A 26,326-nucleotide genomic window follows, 5' to 3' on the forward strand; every position below is an offset into this window, starting at 1 on the left:
ATTTTGGACCCTGACCTTTAGGACTGTGAGAGAATAAATTTCTGTTGTTTTAACCCACCCAGTTTATTACAGCAGTCCTAGGGAACTAATAAACCAACAAGTAGAGAAGGAATCATGCAACTCTTAAGGTGCAGACAAGATGCCTTTCTGCTCCCACACCACCTCCAGGTCTAACCAGGCGCTGTCTCTCAGCCTCTAGGATGGGTAGTATTTCAGTCTTGTTGTATCACCCTTCCTATGCAAGTACTTGAGAATAAATTAGTCCTCCCTTGTGGGACATAAGCAAGCAGCTTCCAACCTGCCTGGAGGGTATGAACAGGTGTCACGAGTCAGTCTTCCTCAGGTGCTTCAGGGTCCAGGTCATAGTCCAGCTGCCCTGCCGCAGGCCTGTGCTCCCACCTACCACAGACTGGGACACAGAACCCAACATCAGTGGAGCCTCGTGTACACCCCTAGTTTTTCTAGCTTGCCTGCTGCAGCCAGACCATTATCTCCCCAGAGTGCTCTTCATGACTGCTTAATGACCAGAAAGACTTGAGTTTTTATATCCAATGTCAAGAGTAAATTATTAACCACCTAGGAAAACAGAATTTTGGAGTAGTCTTGTACTTTGAGATACATAAATATATACATACCTACCAACATACATACACTCATATATGCCTGGAAATATGTATGTATATGTATATTTTACTCCCTTCTTCAAATATCTTTAGTGGATCCTTAGTCCTTGGTGAATAAAATCTAAAATAAGTTCTTAGCTTAGCATTCAAAACTGGCCACTATCTGGCCTGACAACTAACTCCCTTGATGTATTCTGTTAATACGTAGCTGAACTCTTTGTTGAGCTGTTTACCATCTTTCAAATCCCAGTTCTGGTATCAACTCCCAAGAAGACAGTCTTTCCTCATTTCGACACTCTATTTTGAGCAACCATAATACTTTGTATATATCTCCCTAATCACATTACATATTGTGTTGTAGGTTTTTGTATATTTGTCTAATCCTCTTCTCCTGGCCCTGCATTATAAACAGTAGGTAGAAAGCTTGTTATTAAAAACAGAATTAATAGCACAATGTGCTTTTGAAAACGGAAAGCACAGAGTTTTGGGGATGCTTTGCATTTAGAGCCGTCTTCACTGGCATTGACGTCATAGCCGCGGCTAACAGGGCTTATTCTTTGTCAGGCAATGAGCCAAGCATGACATGTGAACTATTTTAAGTCTTTTCACTAATACATGCTGATGTTCTTATTCATCTTAGTGTCCAACGTGGCACATGGCACAGGCCTAGATGCTTATTGAGCTCAATGATCTATTGATCTACCGATTTCAATGATCTACCTGAAATGATGGAATAAACATCTACATCTGTGCCATGTACTCAGTGAGCATCCACACCTAATCATCTAATTGCTAAAGGTGAATCTAGAAGGTAAACACATGTAGAACAAGCATTTGACTCCAATCTCTTGATCTCAATAGATGTATCATCTTTAAGAAAATTGTGACTGAAGTAATTCATAGGGAAAACTACTCCAAGGTAAGTCTATTGTCTTGGAGTATATTCCAGACTATAGAGGGCATTTATGAAAGAGGAAGTGATAATGAAGAAAAGTCCTGAATTACAATCTTAATGTGTTTTTTATTTTATCATTCTGTGTGGATACAGATGTACACAAATACAAACTTTTAATTTTTTTAAACCATGTTCATTATAGACATGAAGAAAAACATACTGAAAACAGTATTCAAAATACAGAGTATGAACTGTTACATTTTTATTTCACCATCTTCTGTGTGAACTTATGGAGAACTAACATAGAAAACTCTAAAATGCAGCTATGACATTTTTCTGTAACAATTGAAATTGTATGTTTAAATAATAGCATAAAGAATGAAACATGTATGCTTTTTAATAACTTTTTCTTCTGTCACATCCCAATGTCATGTGCTCAATCTCTGGTGGCTGTACAGAGCCCAGCGCAGCTCACGAGAGGCCCCTAAAAACCAGGGCACCACGTGGACTTGGCATTAAATTCAGACAACTTTGAAAAGCAGTTCAGATCTTCTGTTTTGTTTTTTTTTTTTCTTTCTTACTTTGTAAGTCTGAGTCTGACCTATTTTTAGGATATGGCCCACGGAATTGAACTTGGTGGTTTTAGTTTCACTGTTGTTGTTTTTCTTCTTTTGGGTTTAAAAAAAAAAAGCACAGGAGTCCACCATGACTAGAAAAGCATTAAAGCTTTCTTCTTTTAATTATACACTTAAAGTTATTAGGGTAGACACATGCTTTGTGTTTCCTGGAAATTGTAGGGTTTTAGTTCCCCTAAGCCCTTCTAACCTTATCCTTTAAATAACTCACTGACTTCTAATGGCCTTTAAAAGAATGATGTCATCAAAACACCCTAAAATTAATATGCCTGTTAGTTTCCATTTTGTTTGTGGCAATTTTTCACCATAAAAATATTATTTTTTCCTAGTGTTATTCCCTGTTCTACTCTTTGTCTTATTTTATAAAGCTCTGTATCTTTCTTTAGCTGAAAAAAGCTGACCTAAACTCCATAACCACTCCCAAGAGCTTGAGGGAAACCAGAGGGAAATCATTTGACATTGAGATTATCCCATCAAAACATGATGACCTTTATTTCCTTTCCATACTTTCCTGAGTATTGTTACTAGAGTAAGTGTTAAAGGATATAAATAAAACAAGTTATTATCAAGTTACTGAATATTATGTATGTAGCCGTGAACTTGTTTTCAAGTGTGATGGGGTTTGAATGCTGCTACATGTTCTGTTGCCTTAGACAGATAGAGAATTTTAGTTCTGGATATTAGGATTACAAATATAATATATGGAAAGCATGATGAGCAACTGAAATGCTTAATCATCAAAACTCTAGAAATTAGAGCAGGTTTATCATATTAGTCGTTGATGGAAGAACTGCAAACTAAGTACCAAAAAATAACTTCCATCACTTTTGTTTCAAAGTTTGTTTTAAAGGTTCAGTAGCATCCACTGAACTTTTCCCCTGACTATCTTAACACATCTTTTTTTGTGTTTGAGGATCTGGCCAGGATTGGAAACAGAGGTGTGAAGGAATTACAAGAGTGGGTGTTTTTGCAGTACTTTTGGCTAGCAGTAAAATAAGCAGGAAATTCTAAAATGTCTTGAGAAAATTTGTCCTGAAGAAAATTCTAGCTTAAATTTTTCTTTTAAATAAGATATTTAGACAATTTGGTTAATATTAAAATGAGAATGGAAACTTATATGAACGCAACAGTAATTGCAACTATTCTAACATCTTTATGCCTATGTGGTACTCTTTAGGGTTTTCAATATTCTTTCACACTTACTCTTCTCTGGAGGCTACACAGTTTGGTGGTGTTACTTCTGTTTTGCAAATGAGAAAGCTGAAGCACAATATTCACAGCAAAGTTTATTTTGTCGCTTTGCCTAGGGCAGCACCTTTTACCTGTGAGGCACCATGCATACTTCTAAACTTCTTGATATGGTTTTAGATCAAGCTTATTTAAAAACACAGTAGTGTTAAGGTCTATTCCCAGTATCATTTATGAGTACAAATGAAACTCTTCACTTTATGAATAGTCTACAAAAATGTGATGCTTAATTCTGCATATGGCTGTGCTCAGTCTGTGCACATTCCTAGAACCAAGATATTCAGTAAGTTGGTCTGCTGTTACAGATTTTTTAAGAGACTATAAGTTAATGTTGATTTGAAAGTATAGAAGCAATCAGATAAATCCCCATGCTTAGAAAAGTGATTAGTTTATGATTACAATGAAGAAGTATTTGGGTTCCAACATTTGTAGAGTATCTTGGGTGCCTATAGCTATGGCAAATAAAAGCAAACAAAAATGAATATGTTATTATTCAAAGAGTTTAACTAAATCTAACTTGTTAGCTTAAAACCTTTGAGAGCTCTCCCACACATTTTTAATGTGATAAAATTTCAAACATATTATTAAGCCCTACTAGCAATGCTGTCAGAGGCGTTTTAACCACAGCAACTCCATCTTGAGTGAGGGCAGGGAAAATGAGGCTGGGACGTGCTGGGCTGCATTCCCAGAAAGTTAGGTATTCCTAATCTCTATATGCCTACAATTTAGGGAACAGATTGATAACATTTACTAAACAGATCCAGACTTAGGAGTGTCCTGATATCGCAATATCTTGAGAACAGAAGCATTCCTAATTTTGCTTTAAAGATAATAATATCGATTCTTGCAAAATATAGCAATTAAGAAAATTAATCCTTTATCACAAACTCTTGTAGCAGTAACACATCTCCCATAATCTTTTTTTAATCTTATCAATAAACGAGTATTGTACTTAGGGTGGAAGCATTTTTCCTCTTACTTTTGGGAACACCCTACTCTGTCGATGGAGTAGCTGTTGTTTCACCACTTTATTTTCTTGATAAACTTGCTTTTGTTTTGCGCTGTGGATTCACTCTGAATTTTTTCTTGCACGAGATCCAAGAACCCTCTTTTGGGGTCGGGGTCTGGATCTGGACCCCTGTCCGGTTAACAATGCTGTGTCTGAATAAATCTGATGATCTAAGTATTAGAATATCACCCTTTATAAATATATGCATGTATCAAATAACTTTAATTATTCTTAAAGCATGTCTACAAAAACCACATGAAAATGCAGACATTTGCATGGAGGTAATAAACGTGAATATGTTTCAGAACATCTGGACAGTTGTTCTCATGCTTGTTGGAATGAAGCTCAGTGTAGAAAGTAGAATGTAGATGTGTACAGGATGTAGTTGACTGCAACATTTCAAGAAATGAAGTTCTTGCCCTTCAGCTATACCGATATAAAAAATTTAAATTACATTATACACTTTATTTTAATCCTTGATGAAGAGATTGTTATATTCAGTATTGTAGTCCTGATGTAGAGAGGTATAATTACATTTGTCAACCAAAAGTATGCGAGACAGGTCTCAATCAGTTTAGAAAGTTTATTCGATCAAGGTTAAGGATATACCTCTGACACAGCTTCAGGAGGTCCTGACCACATGTGTCCAAGGTGGTTGGGGCACAGCTTGGTTTTATACATTTTAGGAAGACAGAAGACATCAATCAATGCATGTAAGAGGTATATTTGTTCAGTCCAGAAAGGTGGGGCAACTTGAAGCAGGGGCTTCCAGGCCATAGGTGATTTAAAGATTTTCTGATTAGCAATTGGTTGAAAGAGTTATTATCTAAAGAAAGGAATGTCTGGGTTAGAATATGGGGTTGTAAAGACAAAGAGTTTATCATGCAGATGAGGCCTCCAGGTAGCAGGCTTCAGAAAGTCCAGACATAAATGTTTCTTATCAGACTTAAAGAGTCTGCTCTACCAGTAATTCCAAAAGGGAAGAGTATATAATGAGGCATGTCTTGCTCCCTCTTCCCATCATGGCCTAAACTAGTTTTTTCAGATTAACTGTAGAATGCCCTTGCTGAGAGGAGGGTCCATTCTGATGGCTGAGGGGCTTTTATTTTTATTTTTGGTTTAAACATAGAATATTCAGTTTTCATGATCTATATGCAAACATTTCAGACATAGTTAAATTTTTTGTATCAGCTTGACTATGCCACATGGTGCCCAGATTAAACATTATTTCTGGGTGTGTCTATGAGGCTCTCTCTATATAAAATTAGCATCTGAATGGGTAGACTCAGTAAAGTAGTTTGGGGAGGGGATCATGCAATCTGTTGAGGGTCTGAGTATAATAAAAAGGAATAAAAAGGTAGAAAAGGGGGAAATTTGTCTCTTCTTGACCATTTGCTCCAGCTGGGACATCACATCTTATCTTTTCCTGCCCTGGGACTAGGATTTACGCCATTGGCTCCACTGGTTTTCTAGTTCTCTGGACTCATGTCAGAGGCATGTGAACCAGAGCAACTCCATCTTGAACAGGAGCTGGGTAAAATGAGTCTGAGACCTACTGGGCTGCATTCCTAGACAGTTAAGCCATTCTAAGTCACAGGATGAGATAGGAGGTTGGTGATAGAGATGATAAATTCCTCTTCAAAAGGTTTTAATTCCCTGTTCTTCCGGTTCTTTGTTTCTCTAGTTTCTATAGTTGCCAGTGCTGTAAACAACCCTTCCCACCCTTGCTGCGCCCTGATATGCCCTGACAAGCCTAGACATGCCTTGTGCCCTGTTACAGAAAGCCTTTCCCTTCCTGCCTAGATAGCTGTGTTCAATTTCAAACATTAGCCAGTTGGGTCAGTTTAGATTGTGCGGTCCAACCCTAGCCAATAGGGGAAAGACACAGCAGTAGGGACTAGCTGCATTAGGAATAAGAACCCCTTCCCTTCCCTTGTCCAGTGTGCTCTCGCCATTGCTCCACCAGTGAGCCGCACCCTTCTATAGAAGTAAATTGCCTTGCTGAGAAAACTTTTGCCTGAGTGCTATTTTCATTTTGCGGCACCAAGCATTTACTTCCAACATTGGCGCAAGATACAGGTCATAAAGACCTTGTTGATAAAACAGATTGCAGTAAAGAAGCCAGCCAAAACCCACTAAAACCTAGATGGCCACAAGAGTGACCTCTGGTTGTCCTTACTGCTACACTCCCACCAGTGCCATGACAGTTTACAAATGCCATGACAACAAAAGGAAGTTACCTTGTCTGTTCTAAAAAGGGGAAGCATGAATAATCCATTCCTTGTTTAGCATATCATCAAGAAATAACCATAAAAATGGACAACCAGCAGCCCTTGGGGCTGCTCTGTCTATGGAGTAGCCATTCTTTTATTCCTTTACTTTCCTAATAAACTTGCTTTCACTTTACACTTGCTTTACTGAATTCTTTCTTGTGCGAGACCCAACAACCCTCTCTTGAGGTCTGGATTGGGACCCCTTTCCTGTAACACTCAGACTAGAATTACACCATTGGCTTTCCTGAGTTTTCAGTTTGCAGACTGCAGACTGAGATTTCTGAGCCTCCATAATCACATGAGCCAGTTTTTCATAGTATATATATTATTGGTTTTCTTTCTCTGGAGAACCCTGCCTCATACAGGTAGATTTTAGCTTAGTCTAAGGAAGAACCTACTATTGAAAATAGCTGCTGGAAATTTGATTGGACTATCTTAGGAGGTAGTAAATTTCTTGTCAATGGAGATGGTCAATCAGATGTTGTAGTGGGGCTTCCAGCATTGGCTAAGGTTTGGCTAGACTATCTTGGAAGTCCCTACGAGTCACTGCTAATGGGAGATATCAGTTTCAAGGGAGAATGTCAAAATATTGCATCTGGAAAGAACTTCAGAAACTGCTTAGTTGCACTTCCTTACTGTTCAGAGGAGGAAAATGAGACCAGAGAATGCAAATATCTCATTCAAGGTCAAATAGCCAATGTATTTTAGGGGATTTGTGTGACAGAAGGCTATCTTTTTGGTTTTATTTAGAATCCAGTAAAATGCAACTGTATTTTGAGTGATCTCAGTCTGCCTTTGTGGGTAGGAGAAACTGGGTGCCTACTGAATGTAGAAAGTCTTTTATTTTATTTCAGATATTTATTTTATTTATCTGATGTGTTTAACTCACAAAGACCCTATTTTGTACATGAATAATTGAGAACTAACTGTACTTTAAGCTTCTATTTATTTATTTTTTAAAGTCATGTACATTTATAGCAATGAGAATGTACCTCATAGGCTTTATAATGTAAGTGTTCTCTAGTAAAAGCAAAAGGGAAGTTCAGCATTAGGTTGTAAATGAGAAGTAAGTACTAAGAGTTCTAAGTTCACTTCCTTTTGTTACCAGCAATTCCTTTTTGGATGTGTGGCAAGATAAGCAGGGCTGATATTCAGAGTCAGTGTGTTAGTTTGTTCTTGCATTGCTATAAAGGAATACCTGAGACTGGATAATTTATAAAGAAAAGTGATTTATTTTGGCTCACGGTTCTGCAGGCTGTAGAGGAAGCGTGGTACTGGTATCTGCTTCTGGAGAGGGCCTCAAGAAGGTGGAGGAGCAGGCAGGTCACATGATGAGAACAGGAGCAGGAAAGAAATGGGGAAGGTGCCACACTTAAACAAACAAACAAACAAACAAAAAACAGCTCTCACGTGAACTACCAGAGAAAGAACTCACTCTTCACCAAGATGGCGCTAAGCCATTCATGAGGGATCCGTCCCCATAATCCAACGTCTCTTACTGGGCTTCACCTCCAACACAGGGGATCATATTTCAACATAAGATTTGGAAGGGACAAACATTCAAACCATATCAGTCAGGTTATTTGGTAACGACCATAAAGTGGTAGGCAAACAATTTTTTCTTCAGTCTGCCATACAGTTTGGGGAAATCTTCATGAAGATCTTTTGTTAAATCTTTAAAGCCTGTCTTATTGTATTCAAAAATATTTTCAGGCTGGGCGGGCTCATGCCTATAATCCCAGCACTTTGGGAGGCCGAGGCGGGTGGATCACTTGAGGTCAGGAGTTCAAGGCCAGCCTGGCCAACATGGTGAAACCCTGTCACTACTAAAAATACTAAAATTAGCCGGGTGTGGTGGTGCTCGCCTGTAGTCCCAGCTACTCAGGAGGCTAAGGTGAGAGAATCACTTGAACCCAGGAAGCAGAGGTTGCAATGAGCCGAGATTGTGCCATTGCACTCCAGCCTGGGCGACAGAGTGACACTCTGTCTAAAAAAAAATTATATATATATTTTCAGAGCATTCTTCATATGTGTCCATAATCAGGTCATTCAGATAATCGAGTGTTTTTGTTGTGGTGGTGGTGGTTTTTAAAATTTACTGGTTGGTTGAAAGGATGGATGAAATTAAAAGATCTTCTCTTAGAACCTTGGATATTATGCATATGAGGCATTTAAATAATAACCATTTGGGGAGTGCTTACTATGTGCCAAACACTATGCTGAGTCCTTTACATATGTCATCTCAATTCCTGTAATAACCCTATGAAATATGTCCTGTAAGCATTCCCGTCTTACAGGTGAGGAAACTGGAGGTTCAGAGAAGCAAAGTGATATACAAATAACATCACCAGCTCACAAGCGGCAGAACAAGAATGCAGACCTCTATCTGTTTAGTGCCGTTGGCAATCACAAAAGATTCAGAAGCTGGGCTCCATGTCTGTCTTCTAAGAACACTTGGGCCTGAATTACTTTACAGGCCATTTTCTAACCCAGGCCACCTCTAGGCCCTGGTCCAGGGCTGCTCTTGTCCCTTAGACCTGTTCCTAGAATCCTCATCCTTGTAAACTCAGCCTTAGTCTAAGAAGCGCCTAGGTTGGAGTATAGTTCAACAGCCACAACCATAGGTAATATCTGTCTAGGAATGTCAAGACTGGAGTGTTCAGGAGCCATGGCACTAGGCAACACCTGTATAACTGTGGGAAAACCTCTACCTCTCAAAACCAGAAAACAAAATCTGGTTAATAGCTGGTCCTACCTCCCCGTCCTCATTAGTCCACTCCTTCTGTTCTCACTTCTCCATTGTTGATTTCTGTCTCATCTGTAGTCTTCTACTTCCAAGTATAATCCCAACTATTCTTTCTTGATCATCATAGACACATATGTTCATATTTTATAAAGCACTGTTTGAATTATGGAGGGATTGAAATAGGAAAGTTAAGCTTAAGAATAGGAGTAGGCATCATATATTGTACTTTTCTTTCTCCACAGGATTATCTCAGTGCTTTGGGTCTAGTAGACATTCAAAAAATATATATGAATAGATTTATTTTATAGTTTTAAGGGGAAATAGATCATGGTATGTTGGGGATGTTTAGAGAACTTTTTGGAAGATTTTTCTGACTGGGGAAAATAGTTTCAAAAATTCTTATTAAATTCATTACTATTGAGACCAAAGGGCGGGAGGCAGAAATTAAGCTTAACTTTGATTTAAAGAGTAAAGAAAGGTTCTTATTCACTGAACTGCATTCCAATCATTTCAACTTATGTTTAAGAACATTTCTTGGTTCTGGGAAGCCTTAATTTACTTCTGCCATGCTGTGGTAGTCATTGCATAATACAGATGAAAGGCAGCTTTTCTTGATGCTACGTGGTATGTTTATTTTACATGTGCTCCTGCCAGACATCTGGAGGATATACCAATGATAGGACTATGAACCAGTTACCTCTGGGGGCCCAATTTCTAGTAGTATTTTACTTAAAATAAGTAACAATGATTGCCACAATAAACTCCCAAATCCTAATGGCTTAACACAATAAAAGTATATTTATTGCTGATATACCAGATCCAAAGTAGATGTTCCTGATCAGTGATCAGTCTATCTTGTGGTCCTTCAAGGACTCAAGCTCCCTTCACATTCAGCTAAAAAATGAGTGAACAGAGAGAATCACATAAGAGGTTTCTTAATGCTTCATCCTGAATCACAGGACAAAATCACACATGATGAGCCAGTCATACGGCCACACCCAAGTGCAAAGGGAATGCCAGTGTCATCTATTGTTTACATAGACACAGAAGAAGTAGATGATGAACATATTGATGAACACATTGCTGTTTCAGCCACAAGGTGGTCTGGAAGTCACCAGCCAAATCCTGTTGTTTCAACAACAGATAGTTTTAACAGTGCTTTATTTAAAGAGATGAGACTAGAATGAGAAAAAATAAAAAGTAGCTTATTAAATAATTCTTTGCTGTTGGTTCTCTTAAATTTCTTCTGCTTTCGTTATAAATGATGTTTTCTTCAAATTTTAAAACTTAATCAGACAAGTCTAGTGTATGTAATGAATTCTCTCTAAAAAACATGACATGTAATTTTTGCCAAGAAGTTCACAGAATACAGGAATCCTGGTGCCAAAAATCAGAAAAAATCCAAGTTATACACAGTGAAAAATTAATAAAGTGGCATTATTATTGAGTTTGTTTATAGAGTACCTCTTTGACTTAATGTTATTTTATTTTATTTTATTTTATTTTATTTTATTTTATTTTATTTTTTTCAGATGGAGTCTCACTCTGTCACCCAGGCTGGAGTGCAGTGGCACGATCTTGGCTCACTGCAAGCTCTGCCTCCCAGGTTCACACCATTCTCCTGCCTCAGCCTCCTGAGTAGCTAGGACTACAGGTGCCCGCCACCACACCTGGCTAAGTTTTTTGTATTTTTAGTAGAGACTGGGTTTCACCATGTTAGCCAGGATGGTCTTGATCTCCTGACCTCATGATCCGCCCGCCTCGGCCTCCCAAAGTGCTGGGATTACAGGCGTGAGCCACCGCTTCCAGCATGACTTAATTTTAAAGTAGGCAGAGAACTTGTTTTCTTCTAATGAGTTTTATTAGGAAATACACTTTTAAGAAAAGATGCTCAGGTTTATACTGTCAGGCAGATTTAGGAGGATATCAGCAAAAGGAGTTAACCTGGCATGTTTCTGGGACATAAGTGTGGTAATAATAAATATTTTACTTGGTATGTTTTCTGAAATAAATTTTTTTTTTCAGAGATATCTGAGTGGGAATTTTTGACTTCAGAGAAATGATGATGTGTGCAATGGTTTGAATGTCCCCTTCAAAAGTCATATTGAAATGGAATTGCCAATATAACAGTATTGGGCAGTGGGGCCTTTAAAAGGGGTTAATCTCATGCAGGATCTGCCCTCATGAATGGATTAATGCCATTATCTCAGGAGAGAGTTAGTTATCACAGCAGTGGATTTCTGATAAAAGGGTGAGGTTCTGCCCCATCTCCTCTCTCTTGTGTACTCCTGCCTTTCACCCATGCTCTATGGGATGACCTTTGCCAGATGCTATTGCCATGCTCTTGGACTTTCCTGCATCCAGAACAGTGAGAAATAAACTTTTTTCTTTGTAAATTACCCAGTCTGTGGTATTCTGTTATAGCAGCAGAAAAAGGACAATGTGGTTACAGGAGTAAAACAGTACTGTATCTAGCAACTAGCACATTTCCTGGCCACAAGCTGACTGTATTTACTGTGTCTCAGGCACTATTTCAAGTGCTGGGAATGCAGCAGTGAACAAAATGAACTAATATTCCTGTCTTCATGGAACTTAACATTGTACATAAACTATAAAACATATGTGATGATAAATGTTGTAAAGAAAAGCTGAGAAGGGCAGGTAGGAGAGTTTGGAGGGCTGAGTTACCTCAGTAACGAGTGGTCTCACTGAGTGAAGATTTGATTTGTGTGTGTGTGTGTCTGTGGAGACAGAGTCTTGTTCTGTTGCCCAGGCTGGAGTGCAGGGGTGCAATCTTGACTCACTGCAACCTCCATCTCCCAGGTTCAAGCGAGTCTCCTGCCTCAGCCTCCTGAGTAGCTGGGACTACACGTGTGTGCCACCATGCCTGGGTAAGTTTTGTATTTTTAGTAGAGACGGGGTTTCACCATGTTAGCCGTCCTGGTCTCAAACTCCTGACCTCAGGCAATCTGCCTGCCTCGGCCTCACAAAGTGCTGGGATTACAGACATGAGCCACTGCGCCTGGCCATGAGCAATGTTTCTATCTTAGATAAACAGTACTCCTGGCAGAGGTAATAGCCTGAAGTGGGAATAAGCCTGGCTTATTCCAGAAACAGCAAGTAGCCCAATGTGGCTGGAGCAGAGTCAGGGAAGGGTGAAATAGTAGAAGAGGAGGTAAGAGAGAAAACTTGGATGTTGAAAGGGACAGGACAAATAAGCTCTTCTGATCACTATAAGGACTTTGTCATTCATTTTGAGTGACAAAAGTAGCCAATTTGAGCAGAGGAGTTGACATGACATGGTATGTTTTAAAAGAATCAGTCTGTCAGCTGTGTTGAGAGTAAAATGAGTGAAGAAACAATAGTGGAAATAGGAAGACCAGTTAAGTGTTTGTTGCAATCCAAATGAAAGTGATAGTGGTGTGGACCAGGGTAGTAGCAGTGGAGGTGGTAAACACTGGTCAGATTCTGCATATATTTTGAAACTACAGTCAGTAAGGCTTTCTGATGAATTCAAAATAGGGTGGAGAGAAGGTGATAGAAGGAGGAGCAAAGGGAGACTCTAGGATTTATTGGCCTGAGCCAGTGGACAGATGGAGTTGTCATGTATTGTAGTGAAAAAGACGACGGGAAGAGCAGTTCTTGGCAAGGTGGGGAGAAGCTTAGTTTATACCAGTTAAATTTGTAATGCCTATTAGATATCCCACTGGAGGTGTTGAATGCATGGCTGGATATTTAAGTCCAGAGATCAAAGAAGAGGTCAGGTTGAAAATATAAATCTGGGAGAGCTCAGCAAATAGATGATATTTAAAGCCATGAGTCTGGGTGAGATTAACCAGAGAGTGAGTAAACTCAGAGAGGAAGACCAAGGACTGTGTTGTGGGGAACTACTAGTTAGGAGAGGTTATAGAACCTGAAAAGGACACTGAGAAGTGGAAAATCAGGTAGGAGGAAAATCAGAAAAGTAGCTCTGTCTTATGGCTACTGAAAGTGAGAAAAAATATTTCCAGGAGGAAGCAGGGACTGTGTCAAACATTGACAACTGACCAACTAAATGAGGATTAAGGAATGACCATTGGATTTGGCAATGTGGAGGTTCTTAGGGCTCTTTACCAAGGCAGCTTCTGTGAAGGGGTGAGGTGAAGTCTCTTTGAAGTGAGATGGAGGGAATGGGATGTTTGCTTTTAAATAATAGCAGGTAGAATGGGAAAAAATGAACAATATAGAAGAGAGAGGACAGACTTGAGCAAGAGAGGATGGAAGCTGGGGCAAAAGTAAAAGAGCTAACATCAGACAGGCTCATAGAGTCACCCATTTCAATGGGACTGACAGCAGAGATTATAGGATGAATAGAAGTTCAAGAGGAAAAATGGAGAATGTATGGAACAATCCTTTAGGAGAAAAAATAGGAGAATCTATATATGAAGGAAGTGTGATGGATTGAATCCAGCGTGGTCAAAGAATTCTTGGTGTCATACATCTTGAAAGAGTAAGCTGAAAATAAAGGATAGTGAATAATTTATAAATGAATAACAATCTGTTTCCAACAGAGTTGTGAAGAAAAAGGGTATTAAACCCTTTTTAAAGGTTTTACTTTTTCCCGAGATTTAAAAGTATCATGAGACATTTTTGGAAACTGTAGGTTTGTACATTTGGTAAGGGCATGTATCCTTATCCGGGAAGGCCAGATTAACATTGACATAGACTTCCTCACAGTATGTGGCAAGACTAAATGAATGGTCTTGGCCAGCAGACTTTGTACTTAAAATATGAGCCAGTGAAGGGGTTGGGACTAATTGGATAAAATGCAGTCCCTAGGGAGAGCTGGAGCAAGAGATCTGTGCATTATGCCTTCCAGACCTGAAAGGGAAGTTGGATTTTAATAGCTTTGACTTACAAAATTAATACCCTCCAAAGAAAATTCACCTGTTGCCAAATCTAATGCCAAGCTTTGAACGCTCACAGTTCCTTCAGGTCGCTTGTTTATTTTTGTTTCTTTCTTTTTTTTTTTTTTTTTCCTCCTTCTTGCCAGTGTCTTCTCAACTTTTAGGCATGAATACTAGAAGGCTTGCAATTTATCTTCTTGAAGAGTTGTTTAATCAGAAGTCCATAATGAAAGAGAAAGAGAAAAAGAGATTTTAAACACTTTGGTTTAAAATGCACTTCTCCTGGCTATGAATTTTCCTAAGTTGTTTGTGTGCATATAAATACACTGTTTATGCCTTGCAATTTGGCCAGCATATTTTAAACTCCAACTCTTGAAAACATTCTTTTTTAGTTAGGTAACGCTGAAAAACAGTTCTATTACAAGTTATTCTATTGACCTGGGTGCCAAGGACTTCTTATTTTTCTTCCATATACCTTCATTTTTCTAATTAGATAGCCCAAGCAGCTAAACTTGATCTATCACACAGTCAGATGTCAGTATTTAGCAAATGTTGTTGCCACTAATGGTTTTTACACTTGTGTCATTTTACAAAGTTTACTTTCAAATCTTGTGAATTAAAGTTTCCATTCAGTATCACCAAAACAAAGAGGCAGGAAATATAGACATAGTTTTCTCATAAAGAGAATATAAAGATACTCATTACCATACCTTTTTTTGATGTTGGCTGGTGTTAAGATAAAATGGATTTAAAGATCACTCGAGAGTTGGCCAAAAAAAAAAAAATGCAAAGGGATTTAGATGCAGGCATTTTGAGGTATATTCCATTTAATCTCGTTTTAATATATAAAATATGTTTCTGGATATATTTTAAAATAAGCTAGTTTCTTGAATTTATTCCATATTGTTTGGTGTTTTAGCTGAAGAATGGACAAATTAAGTGCATCATTATTATCATTACTTTTTTAAAAAAATGGGAAATAGCTTTACATTTTATTCCTAATTATGAATATAATGCATTGCTTACGTAAAACATTCCATCAATAGAGAAATGCATGAACTACAAAGAATACGTCCTCCTCACAATCCCACCTCCCAGGGATAACCAGACTTAGAGTTTAGCTTGTAGCTTTGCAGGTTTATTTCTGTGTGTATATTCATCTTTAGTTTTTAAAACAAAATGAGCTCTAAAATGATCATTTTAGCCCTGTGTTTTAAATTTTATTAATAAATTATCAACCTATTTTAATATATGTGTAGTTTATTCATTTTACTGTATGAATGAGATAATAATTAATTTATTTCATTATTGGGGATTATTAAGATTTCCAGTTTTTATTATTGGAAGTAATACTGCTATTTACATTTCTGTACACATCATCACCTGTCTCATAGGTTTATTGGAATTAAAAAATACACTAGTACATGTAAAATTCTGAAAAAATATATGACAACAAGTGCTTCAAAATGTTATAAATGTATTATTCTCTTTATTTTCTTTGTTGCTAGTGAATATGTCCATATGACAAACTTCTAGAAATGAAATTACTGGGTTGTTAAATATCAAATTGCCCTCCAAAGAGGTCCTCTCAAGTTATACTCCCATCATCAAGGAGTAAAGAATATTTGTTTTCCAACACCATTTAAATTAAACTTTTCAATAGAAGCATCACAGACATATAGAAAAAGTACATGCACATTATAGGTACTGGCTCAACAAAGTGAAACCAGTTGTGTAACCAACACTCAGATCAAGGCAGAGTACATATCATATCCATCACTCTGGGGGCCTCCTTTGGGTTCCTACCTTGTCCTAATTTGCTTCTTCCTCTCCAAAGTTAAGTGCTATCCTACTTATGGCACCATCGTTTAGTCTTGTATTCATTTATAGTCTGGCTTCTTTCACTCAACATTTTGCATGTATTGGATGATTATAACCATCCCTGTTGTTGCAGGTATCAATAGTTCATTCATCTTCCTGTATCCTACTGCAGGAATATATTGTAAATTATTCATTGTGAATGGGCATTTTGTATGTTTGTTTTATATGTTTATTACAAATAACACTATTATGATTCTTCCACACGTCTTTCGGTATATACATGTACACATTTCTGTTGGACATTTAACTCACAGTAGAATTGCTGGTTCATAGAATAGGTGTCCATTCAACTGTGAAAGATACTGCCAGTTTTCTAAAGGAATTGTGCCAGTTTATCACTATGTCAGCAATGGGGGGTAGTACCAGTTGTATATTCTTGCCAATTCTTGGTATTATTTATTTTAAAAAATTTGGTCATTCTGATGGTTGCGTAGAGGTATATCATTGTAGTTTGCAATGTATTTTCCTGATTATTAGGGAAGTTTAGCACCTTTTCATATGATTATCAATAATTTGGATGTTCTTTTTTGTGAAACACCTTTTCAAGTCTTTTGCCTATTTTAAAAATTGGGTTGTCTTTTCTTTATTTATTTATAGGAGTTCTTTCTTTTTCTGGGTATGTGCTCCTTGATATATGTGATGTCTCATACTTACAGTTAGAAATATTTTTTCTCTTAATCGTGTCTTTCAATAAATAAGTTCATCTGTTTTTTTCAAACTTTTCCTTTATAATTATTACCTTTTGTGACTTGCTTAAGAAATGTTGAACTACCTAAGGTTGTGTTTTTTACTAGAAGCTTTATTGTTTCACTTTTTCTTGTTAGATTGACAATCCATCTTAATTTTATGTGGTCTACTCAAATTTCCTTCATGCAGATATCCAATTGACTCTGCACCCTTTATTGAAACATGCTATAGTGGCACCTTTGCTGTAAACCAGGTGATCACGTAGTATAAAACTCAGGGGCTATTTGACATCTGTACTTTCTATTAAATGGGAAAATGCAGTGTCTAGTAAAAGTAAATAAAACAAGTTTACAGAGAAATGCAACGGAAAGAAACCTGGTTGTGTGGGCCATCTTGATTCCAGTTATTTAGTAATCCCGGAAGAACTGTTTCATCTTCCCAAACCAAAACTTCATTCCCATTGAACAATAATTTCATGTTTCTCTCCTCCTGTCGTCCCTGGCAGCCACCATTCTACTTTTCGTCTCTATTAATTTGACTACTAGGTACCTCATATCACTGGATTCATACAATATTTGTCCTTTTGTGACTGACTTGTTTTGGTTAGCACAATGTCTTCAAAATTTATCCACGTTGTAGCGTGTGTCAGAAGTTCTCTCCTTTCTGAGGTTGAATAACATTTCATTGTACATATATATCACTTTTTGTTTATCCATTCATCTGTCAGGGGACAATTGGGTTGCTTTCAGCTTTTGGTTATTATGAATAATGTCGCGATGAACATGGGTGCATATGGATTGTTTTTTATGTTTTTTATTTGTTTCTTTGATGTACCTTTTTGTCTTGCTTAGGCAAATTAGACTTAGTAACCAGAGGTTCTCAACTAATATGCATGTACCTGTTTACAGACTTCTTATTGTATTCCTTTGCTCTACCAGCCTTTTTCTATACTAATACCATACTGTGTTAATGATTTTTCCCTCATTACTGTATTACAAAAAGGCATTGGCTACGTTTCAGCTTTTTTTCCTTAGATGATCAATTGTCAGGTTCTAAAAAGAAATGGAATTTGGTATTGCATTGGACTTTTAGTTAATTTGCAGACAATCAACATTAAACCTTTCTTAACAGTATATACATAGGATATATCCTTTTATAAAAGAGCCAAATAATACTAAGATTGGCCCCTTTTTTCAAAAGTTCTAGTTCTTTTATCAGATCTGAGATATATATACATATACACATATGTGCATACACGTATATGTATGCGTGCATACATGTATACATGTATAAGTATACACATACATATGTATATACACATATACACACGTATAAACATGTTTATACACACATATACATATCTATGTATACATATATGTATACATATATACACACATATATGTGTGTATATATACACACATATATATGTGTGTGTATATATACACACATACACATATACATAGATATGTATATATATGTGTATATATATACTCATACACATCTTTCTTTACACTTTACTACTGATCTGATTTATTCTTATTTTTAACTTCCTTTTGTAAAAACTTGAATGGTGAATGGCATGTATTTTCCTTTAATGTCCCTATTTTGAGATCTATCCATGTTCATAGAAGTAGACCCTCTTCATTCTTTTTATTTGTTACAAGGGATTTCATTGCATAGATATATTTTATTTATCTAATGATTTCCCTTTTGATGGATCCTTAGAGAATTACCATTTTTCAGCATTACAACATCATCATGAAACTCTTGATACATACTTGTTTTGGTTCACATTTCTCTAAAACCTACCGAAAGCAAATTGCTTGGTTTAAAGATATACACATTTAAAATTTAAAGCTATTGTCAAATTATCCTCCAGAAAATCAGTATCAATTTATATTCCTAAGAGGCAATCACAGACATTTTCCTATCTCCCTACAAACTCATAAAGTTTATCATTAAAATTTATTCCCATTTGGAGCAAAAAAAAAAATCTCCTGATTGTTTTATTTGTATTTTAATAGTTTCGGGATGGTTGAACAGCTTTACTTATTCATTTGGCCATTTGTATTTCCATGTCTGTGAAAAGCCAGTTTATAAGCTTTGCTCATTTTTCTATTTTTGTCATTGTTTTAGTTTTTTCTTACTGATTTGATCCAGATGATCTGTTCACAATGCAGTTTAAATATTAATATTTTGTCTGTAATACATACAATTAAAATATTTTTCTGCATGCTGTCAATTTTCTTTTAACTTGGTATGTGCCCTTGTTTGTATGGCTATATTTTGAAGTTTTAGAGTTGATACAGTCAAATTGACCACTCTTTTCTTTTTTAATATTTATCTTATTTTTATTGCTTTTTAATATATCTTAGGCAGGAAGGCTTCCCTACATTATAGTTATAAATATATTTACTTCATTCTCTTTTAGTAATTTTATATTCTTTAATTTTACATAAAGTTCTTTGACATTTAAAATTTTTTTGTGTGCACATGTTAAGGCTACTATATAACTATTTTTCAACATTTGTCTTACAGCGTGTGTGAATTATTTGATCATATTTTTCACTCATTTTTTCTTTTGGCAAATGAAGGCTATATTTTCCCCCAAATGTTGTTGGAATAGCTAGTTCCATCCTTTTTCTCATTGAACTTAAATATCCTCTTTATCATATATCAAACTATCTTTTAGTCCTGGCTACATTTGTATATATCCTGTTCTGAATCTATTTGACTACTTCTGTGTTAATATCATACTATTTTCATTACCATGGATTTAAAAAAATTGTTTTTAAATCTCTACTTTTCTTACATATTTCATTTTTACATGAAGTTGAGAATCTGTCAAGTATCATCTATAATCTTATTGGGGATGCATTCAATTTATACACTAATTTTGAGGTAATTTACATCATTATGATAGTGAGGAGTTTTACCATGATATACACATGCAGAACATGATTATCTCCATTTATTCATGTCTTTTTGTGTATAAGTCATTAATGTCTTATAGTTCTTGTTTTTTCATATTAGTTTTACCCCATTCATGCTACACTTATTTATAGACCATTTAAATTGTTTTTAATGACATGAATGGGAATTTTCCAGTTAGTGGCTCAAATAACTAATTATTGCTGATATAAAAAGACAAATGGTGATAGTTACACATATTTATTTTAAACATTAATAACTTTCTAAAATAAATTTTTTGATTCTTATGAATTTCCTTGATGTATAATCATGTGTACATATGAATGTACAACTTATCTTTTCTTTCCAGTATGTATGTATATGTGTTCTTCTTTTATTACTTTTTGTTTTATCCACAATCTCCTGAATAATGTTGAATAGCAGTTTTGATAATATACGTCCCTGTCTTTTTCCTGTTAATGAGATTGACTTTAATATTTCATTTTTAATGTGGTGTTTTTCTGTTGATGGCCAATTAAGAATTCTTATTATACTACACAAAGGTACAAATTATGTATGTTTTAGTACAAACATGACATGTGGATATATCAAAGTCTGGAATAAAGAACTGAACACAATGTGTTGGAAAGACATCAGATCTTGGAATAACCAGGTTGGAATCCTGGCTCTATCACCTAACTAGCAGTTTGACATTGAGAATGATACATAACCTCTTTGAATCTCTTTCTGCGTCTGAAATAGGAAGATAATAACACATGCAAGAGATGATATGTGTCATGGGCTCTAAAATGTCTGCTGCGGTATAGACTCAATAAATCTAGATTGCCCTCTGAGATCCCAGAGGACTTAAGCAACAGAAAGTCAAGTAAAAATAGCAAGAAACCGTTGTACTCTTCCTATCTTCTTGCTCTTAGTTGAGAGCACAGGATCTGTTAGCAAAATGTAGTTCATATGGTGCATTTAATTTTGCTAAAATGACACTTAGGGAATTTTTAAAGCTGGATCCACAATATAACTAAATCAATGATATAGCAAATGGGTGATTCCATTAAGCTTGAAATTTTCTCAACTTACAGATAAATCAAAAAGAAAAAAAATCTTTCTTCCATAGTTTTATAAAGTTAATTAGCTCCATATATCCATGAATAGGGAAACAATCTCATTACACTAAGTATTTTTATTTTAAGGGCCAAATAGCTTCATCTAGATTTGAGAAGTCATTCAGAAGTGTTCAAAACCAATATAAAGATCACTTTATTTCGAAGTATGGCTTCTTAGTGATGTAAGAGTCAAGTTTCTACTAAATTAATAAAAAGATTTAAAATAGAAACAGATGAACTCATTATGAAGTGCTTTATACATCTTTGGATTTTCATAACTTAGAAAAGCAGAAGTCAATCACCACCAATTGGACACATTTCTTCTACTTAGCTCCAGTCAGAGCTTATGACTAAAATGATTTTGAATTGTTCTGCATAGTTTTTCATGGATTTGGAGAGATCTCACTCTATCATTAAGAATTTGGCTGGCATATATCTATATGCCTACCCTGTCAATTGTTATTAGGTATAACAGTCTATGATATTGTGAGTCTGTGGCTTTTAAAGAGATGTTCATTTCATATATGTCTTAGTTTTAACGTATAAAGCAGGAAACAGGTGAAATATGCCTTAATCGGATAGATTGTGAGTCCTTTTGTAGCAGGGAGCATGCTTTCTGTGACTTGTACCTCCATAAAATTAAGGGAAGAGTTCAGAGTGCAGTATGTGCTTCCATAAATATTTTAGTGGTGATTAGAGAATATAATATTCAAGTGATTTAGGGGTTTTGTATGGCAAACTTTATAATGTATAATTTCAAAGACCGTTTTTCCAATTAGGGGCTGTGTTTATTGACGATAGGGATGTAAATTACTTATATCTGTAAGAGCAACGTAGTGCATTTAGTGGGCACTCAATAAATGCTAGTTGAGTAAATGAATGAAAAACAATTTGAAAGTTATTTTTAAAAGTTTATTAAGTGAACTTCAACTAAATACAAAATAGGGTAAAAGTATAAAGAAATATAAGCTTAAAAATAAATATTCTAAGAAGCTATATTAGTCAACAAACTCTCTTGGGGAAGGGAATGTACTTCCTTCTTGTTAGAAAATGGTTTGTATGAAAATGAATAGCACCTGTAATGGTTAATTGTCTTGCTTTAAAATCTCAGAGGGCAGAGGGAGTGCTCCCAGGTAAGTCCAGTCAATTTATATCCTATAAGCTTCATGGCCTGCTCCCTCAGTGGTGGGGACATTCTCTTTTGTTCTCTAAATGTACAATGAGACACATTGATCTAGAAGCACTGAGATTTAGTGCCAGTGTCAGCATTGAAAACTGAGGCCAGCAATAAATATCAATATATGGAAAGCCAAGCATGCTTAAAACAGTGTGGTAGGCCCGGAGGAAAGGGCAAACACTGAGAATATGAGAAGAAAAGGAGCAAAGTCCCCAAAGGAGAAAGAAGTGTCTTTATTTTCTACATTTCCTGTGAAAGGCTAATTTTGCTGCTTTCAAGCAATTCAAAATGATTATAGGTGAGTTACTGCTGCAAAGATGCTTCTCTGTGTGTGTGTGTGTGTGTGTGTGTGTGTACACACTAGCAAGATCTCTTGCTTTTCAAGAGGAAAGGTATTTTTATATTCATTTAATCATTTAGTCTGAGACTTCTGATTCTCTTAATTTGTCATCCAAAGGGGGTGTGTCCAATTTTTCTCCGTGTGTCCTCAGACACAGAAGGCTGAGGGAGAGTGATGCAGGCAAGGGCTGCTGACTGGTTTCCCCCACCCGCCTTCCTCTGAGCCTGGCCTGGTGTGTGGCTGCTGTTTATACCTGCTGAAGTGCTTTCTGTGTTTGAGTTGGCGCTGCCAGCTTACACGTTAAAGCCCCAAGATGTTCATGAGGTCTGTCCCAGAGCTTTGAAACCTATGAGCTGGCGGCTGGGGCGAGAAATGTCTCTCTCAGTTTTTGGGTGAACTCCATGTTTTTTCCAGGAGGTTAGATCACTGTCCACAATCCAGGCTTGCTAGACAGAATGTAACAGTTGCTGTTTGAGACATCCTGAACTTTTAAAGGCAAAAGGCAGAGGAGGGAGGGAGAGGAAAAAGCCCAGGGTCAATTTAACAGCTGGAAAGGAACATTTTTATATCTGGTCAACAAAGATTTTTACTGAACTGGAAAGCTTTATCATCAAGCAAGGAAAAAATACCACTTCTTATTATGACAAGGGGGTATATTGTTACAAACTTCCCAGGTCCATTCCAAGTCATGTTTGAGACCAGACCAGATTCATCAGTGGTTGTGGCAGAAATATTAGGTGTGATATAATTTTTGTAAAAATTTACCTGGCCATCTCCCTGCTCCTTTCGTCAGTCTGTAAAGATTTTTAGAAGACTCATCTTTTTCACAAATGGCAAAATTCTGAAAACTGACACCTACTTGTTCCCTGCCCACAGTTCTTGGCTCTTTCATGTTGCCCTTTTTGTCATATTAGGAATATTAGTATCTGTTTTTGTTGTTGTTGTTGTAGTTGTTGTTTTTGAGACAGAGTCTCACTTTGTCGCCAGGCTGTAGTGCAGTGACGCAATCTCGGCTCACTGCAACCTCCGCCTCCCAGGTTCAAGTGATTCTCCTGCCTCAGCCTCCCAAGTAGCTGAGACTACAGGTGTGCACCACCACACCCAGCTGATTTTTGTATTTTTAGTAGAGATGGAATTTCACCATATTGGCCAGCATGGTCTTGATCTCTTGACCTTGTGATCTGCCTGCCTCTGCCTTCCAAAGTGCTGGGTTTACAGGCATGAGCCACTGTGCCTGGCTTATTATCTGTTTTGTTGTTGTTGTTGTTGTTTGCCTAAGATTTCTCTCCTTCATCTCTTTCAATGAAAAGTCTTAGTTCATGGGGAGAATTCTGTTGTTGTTATATAGCTGAGTATGGCAGGAATTCTATATTTTGCTTCTGTCCCTATGTGTGTATGAATGAACTAGAGACATGTAAAAGACCTCATACCTGAAAAAAATTGACAGAGATGTCAACTACTTATATCTGTAAGAGTAGAAAAATTACTAAAAAAATTTTAGTAAATTATTTAAAAGTTTTATGCCAAAGGGCAGTAATACGTCCAAGCAAAACAGTAGACACATTGAAGAATAAAATTTAAAGCTGGATATGATCGAATTCCAAGTTCATGGCAACTTTGTTTACAGGAAAACATAATAGAGCCCTTGTCACATTCTCCCCTCTGCCACCCCCAAACAAGTACAAAGTCTATGTTCTTATAAATATGTTAAGAATTTCATCTGTAATGTTTGTTTATGAAGACCATAAAAATGCCTTTGAATGAAGTAAGTCCCAGTCTTATTTTGCCAAGCCAAGGGAAAGAATCCTTTCTTTTGGTCTTCCACCTAGAGAATTGCTAGTGAGGCGTGAATGGTCTCTTCTTGACTCTTTAAGGTAGCATATTTATACTTGGGCAAAACTCAGTGGTCTTCCATATCATAGTGACAGCCTCTTTCTACCTCCCTCTCCATACCTCTTTCTAATTCACATTGCTTGCCTGACAAAGCTGAAGAATGTCTAAATTGAACATTTAATTTGACCTTGTCTGGAAGCAATGCCATTAGAGACAGACCTATGTTATATCAACTCTGATGTGATTATAGCTGTCCCAACATATGAGATGGCTTTGTTTGTCATTCAGGAGGCCTACTGATGCAATGTGTATTCTCTGGACCTCTTCATGAAAAAAAAAATGTTTATACCTGTGAGCATGTCCAGATGGCAGTGAAAGACTCCCATTCATGAGAGCAGCACTCAGCAATTCATGGTTGCCAAAGTATGCAGCGAAGGCATGCCCTCTGCCATTCCATGGCCTTGTAAGGAAACAGTTTCTAAGGTGACAGACTAGCACCCTTGAGGCCAGAGACCCTAGTGTTTTAGATTGGGGGGATGTGGGGAGGGCAGGGGGACAACATGAAATAATACCGAGAAAAGCAGTTTTTGTCATTATTCTGGCAATTTAGAAAGGGGAAAGAGTGAGAGTGGGGAAAGGAGAAGGGGTTCAGAGTTTTCCGCTTTAGGTCTCAAAGAAATTTAATTCAGATCTGCTCTGCGCATTGTGAGCATAATGCCCTTTTCATGGGTTAATTTCAAGGACATAGGAGATTAAATTAGGTCCAAGGCATGACCAAAGGGACAGGCTCTGGGCTTCCAGGCTGTGATTGTCAGGTGGTAAATAGGCAGGCACTCCAATTCTCTTGGAATCTGTGGCATTCTTGGGATTGCTTTTTCTGTGTGATATTCCCTTAACGCTATCACTGGAATGGTAAAATGTCACTTGAACAAGAGTTCTCAAGGAGGTATTGCTGACCCTAACAATATTGATGGGAAGGATTTTTTCATTGGACCACCTCCAAATGTAGGAAAATCTCAGGTGACAGCTTCTAGCATCCAGCTGTATTGTAGATTATAAACTCAGTAGGCAATGCTGAAAGATACTATGTCTTTCACAGAATTTGGCACATCGTTACTGCTTCATACCCAATACGTTAAGGGTAGGGAGAAAGCTTTTTGTGTGGATGCAGAAAATAGCTTTAAAAATTAAAGAGGTCCTCAAGTTAAAAAGGGAGAATTGTTTCTGATAACCAAGTTTGCATTTGCTTAATCTTGGTGTTATTGGAGAAAAAGAAGGGTTTCTACACATCACACTAGGATTCTGGATGATGAAAGCATAATAGCTTGCTTTTGCTAGCTTTCATCATGTTAATGTTGTTTGGGTATTATTGAAATGGCAAGGGGCCTGGCATACATGTTATTTTCCAAACCTAAATAGACTTTCATGAAGCTATCTGGTTGTATTGGCATAACATGAAACCGATTCTTAACACCCAATGGTAAGCGAAGTAGGGTAGACTAACAAAGAGTCAGTTTGGGTTAGAAGAACTTCCCCTTGTTCAAGTTTATTCTCTTTAGTTCAGCACTTTTTTGGATATTTAACAGACAAGGATACAAGTGAATAGACTGGCTCTTTGATGCTCCCTGATATGGCACAGCAGAGGGCCAGTGGTGGGGGGTAGTCAATCCGGCCACCACAGAAACTCATTAAGTCACAGGGGCCATGAAACTGCATGGAGTTAATGCAGTCTCCTACCATTTGTAACTAACAGGCTGGGACAAAGGCCCCTTAGCACACACAGAAACTACGCCATGTAAGGGATTATTCGCTGTATCCCAATTAACATACTACAGTGGTCTCCTCGCTGCCATCTAGCTGCAGTAGGCCTGGCCCTGTCCTGCTATAACAACATTATAGTAACCACAAGAGGCCCTGGAAACTATCAGTCATTTCTTGTGTTGAAATGCTATTAATTCCCTGGAAACTTATATTAGGTAGAGGGAGGGGTGAGCCGAATGGAAGCCTTCATGAGGCCTCAAACAAAAAGGGCCATAGAGATACCTCCTAAGAGCCTGATCAT

At 37.0% G+C, this 26,326-nt stretch overlaps 1 long non-coding RNA gene across 4 annotated transcripts in view, besides 1 other annotated feature; it reads left to right on the top strand.

Annotated features, from left to right (window-relative positions):
- The window catches only part of CCN2-AS1 (CCN2 antisense RNA 1), a 200,374-nt gene that overhangs the window by 95,653 nt on the left and 78,395 nt on the right, over nt 1-26,326 (top strand). For 2 of the 4 annotated variants that reach the window (NR_187594.1, NR_187595.1), the window contains exon 3: nt 12,253-12,320. The exons of the other annotated variants lie outside the window; for them this stretch is intronic. This is a non-coding gene — a long non-coding RNA (CCN2 antisense RNA 1). The remainder of the gene's footprint in view (nt 1-12,252; nt 12,321-26,326) is intronic. 4 annotated transcript variants of the gene reach the window in all.
- Nucleotides 5,470-6,669: an enhancer, noted in NCBI's record as "BRD4-independent group 4 enhancer chr6:132324214-132325413 (GRCh37/hg19 assembly coordinates)". NCBI's record gives its function as "activates an origin of replication core promoter dependent on BRD2, P300/CBP, MED14 and CDK7 cofactors, and independent of BRD4, by STARR-seq in HCT116 cells {active_cell/tissue: HCT116}" and the evidence as "EXISTENCE:reporter gene assay evidence [ECO:0000049][PMID:35650434]".

This window comes from Homo sapiens, chromosome 6, assembly GCF_000001405.40.
Source record: "Homo sapiens chromosome 6, GRCh38.p14 Primary Assembly".
Lineage (NCBI taxonomy): Eukaryota > Metazoa > Chordata > Mammalia > Primates > Hominidae > Homo > Homo sapiens.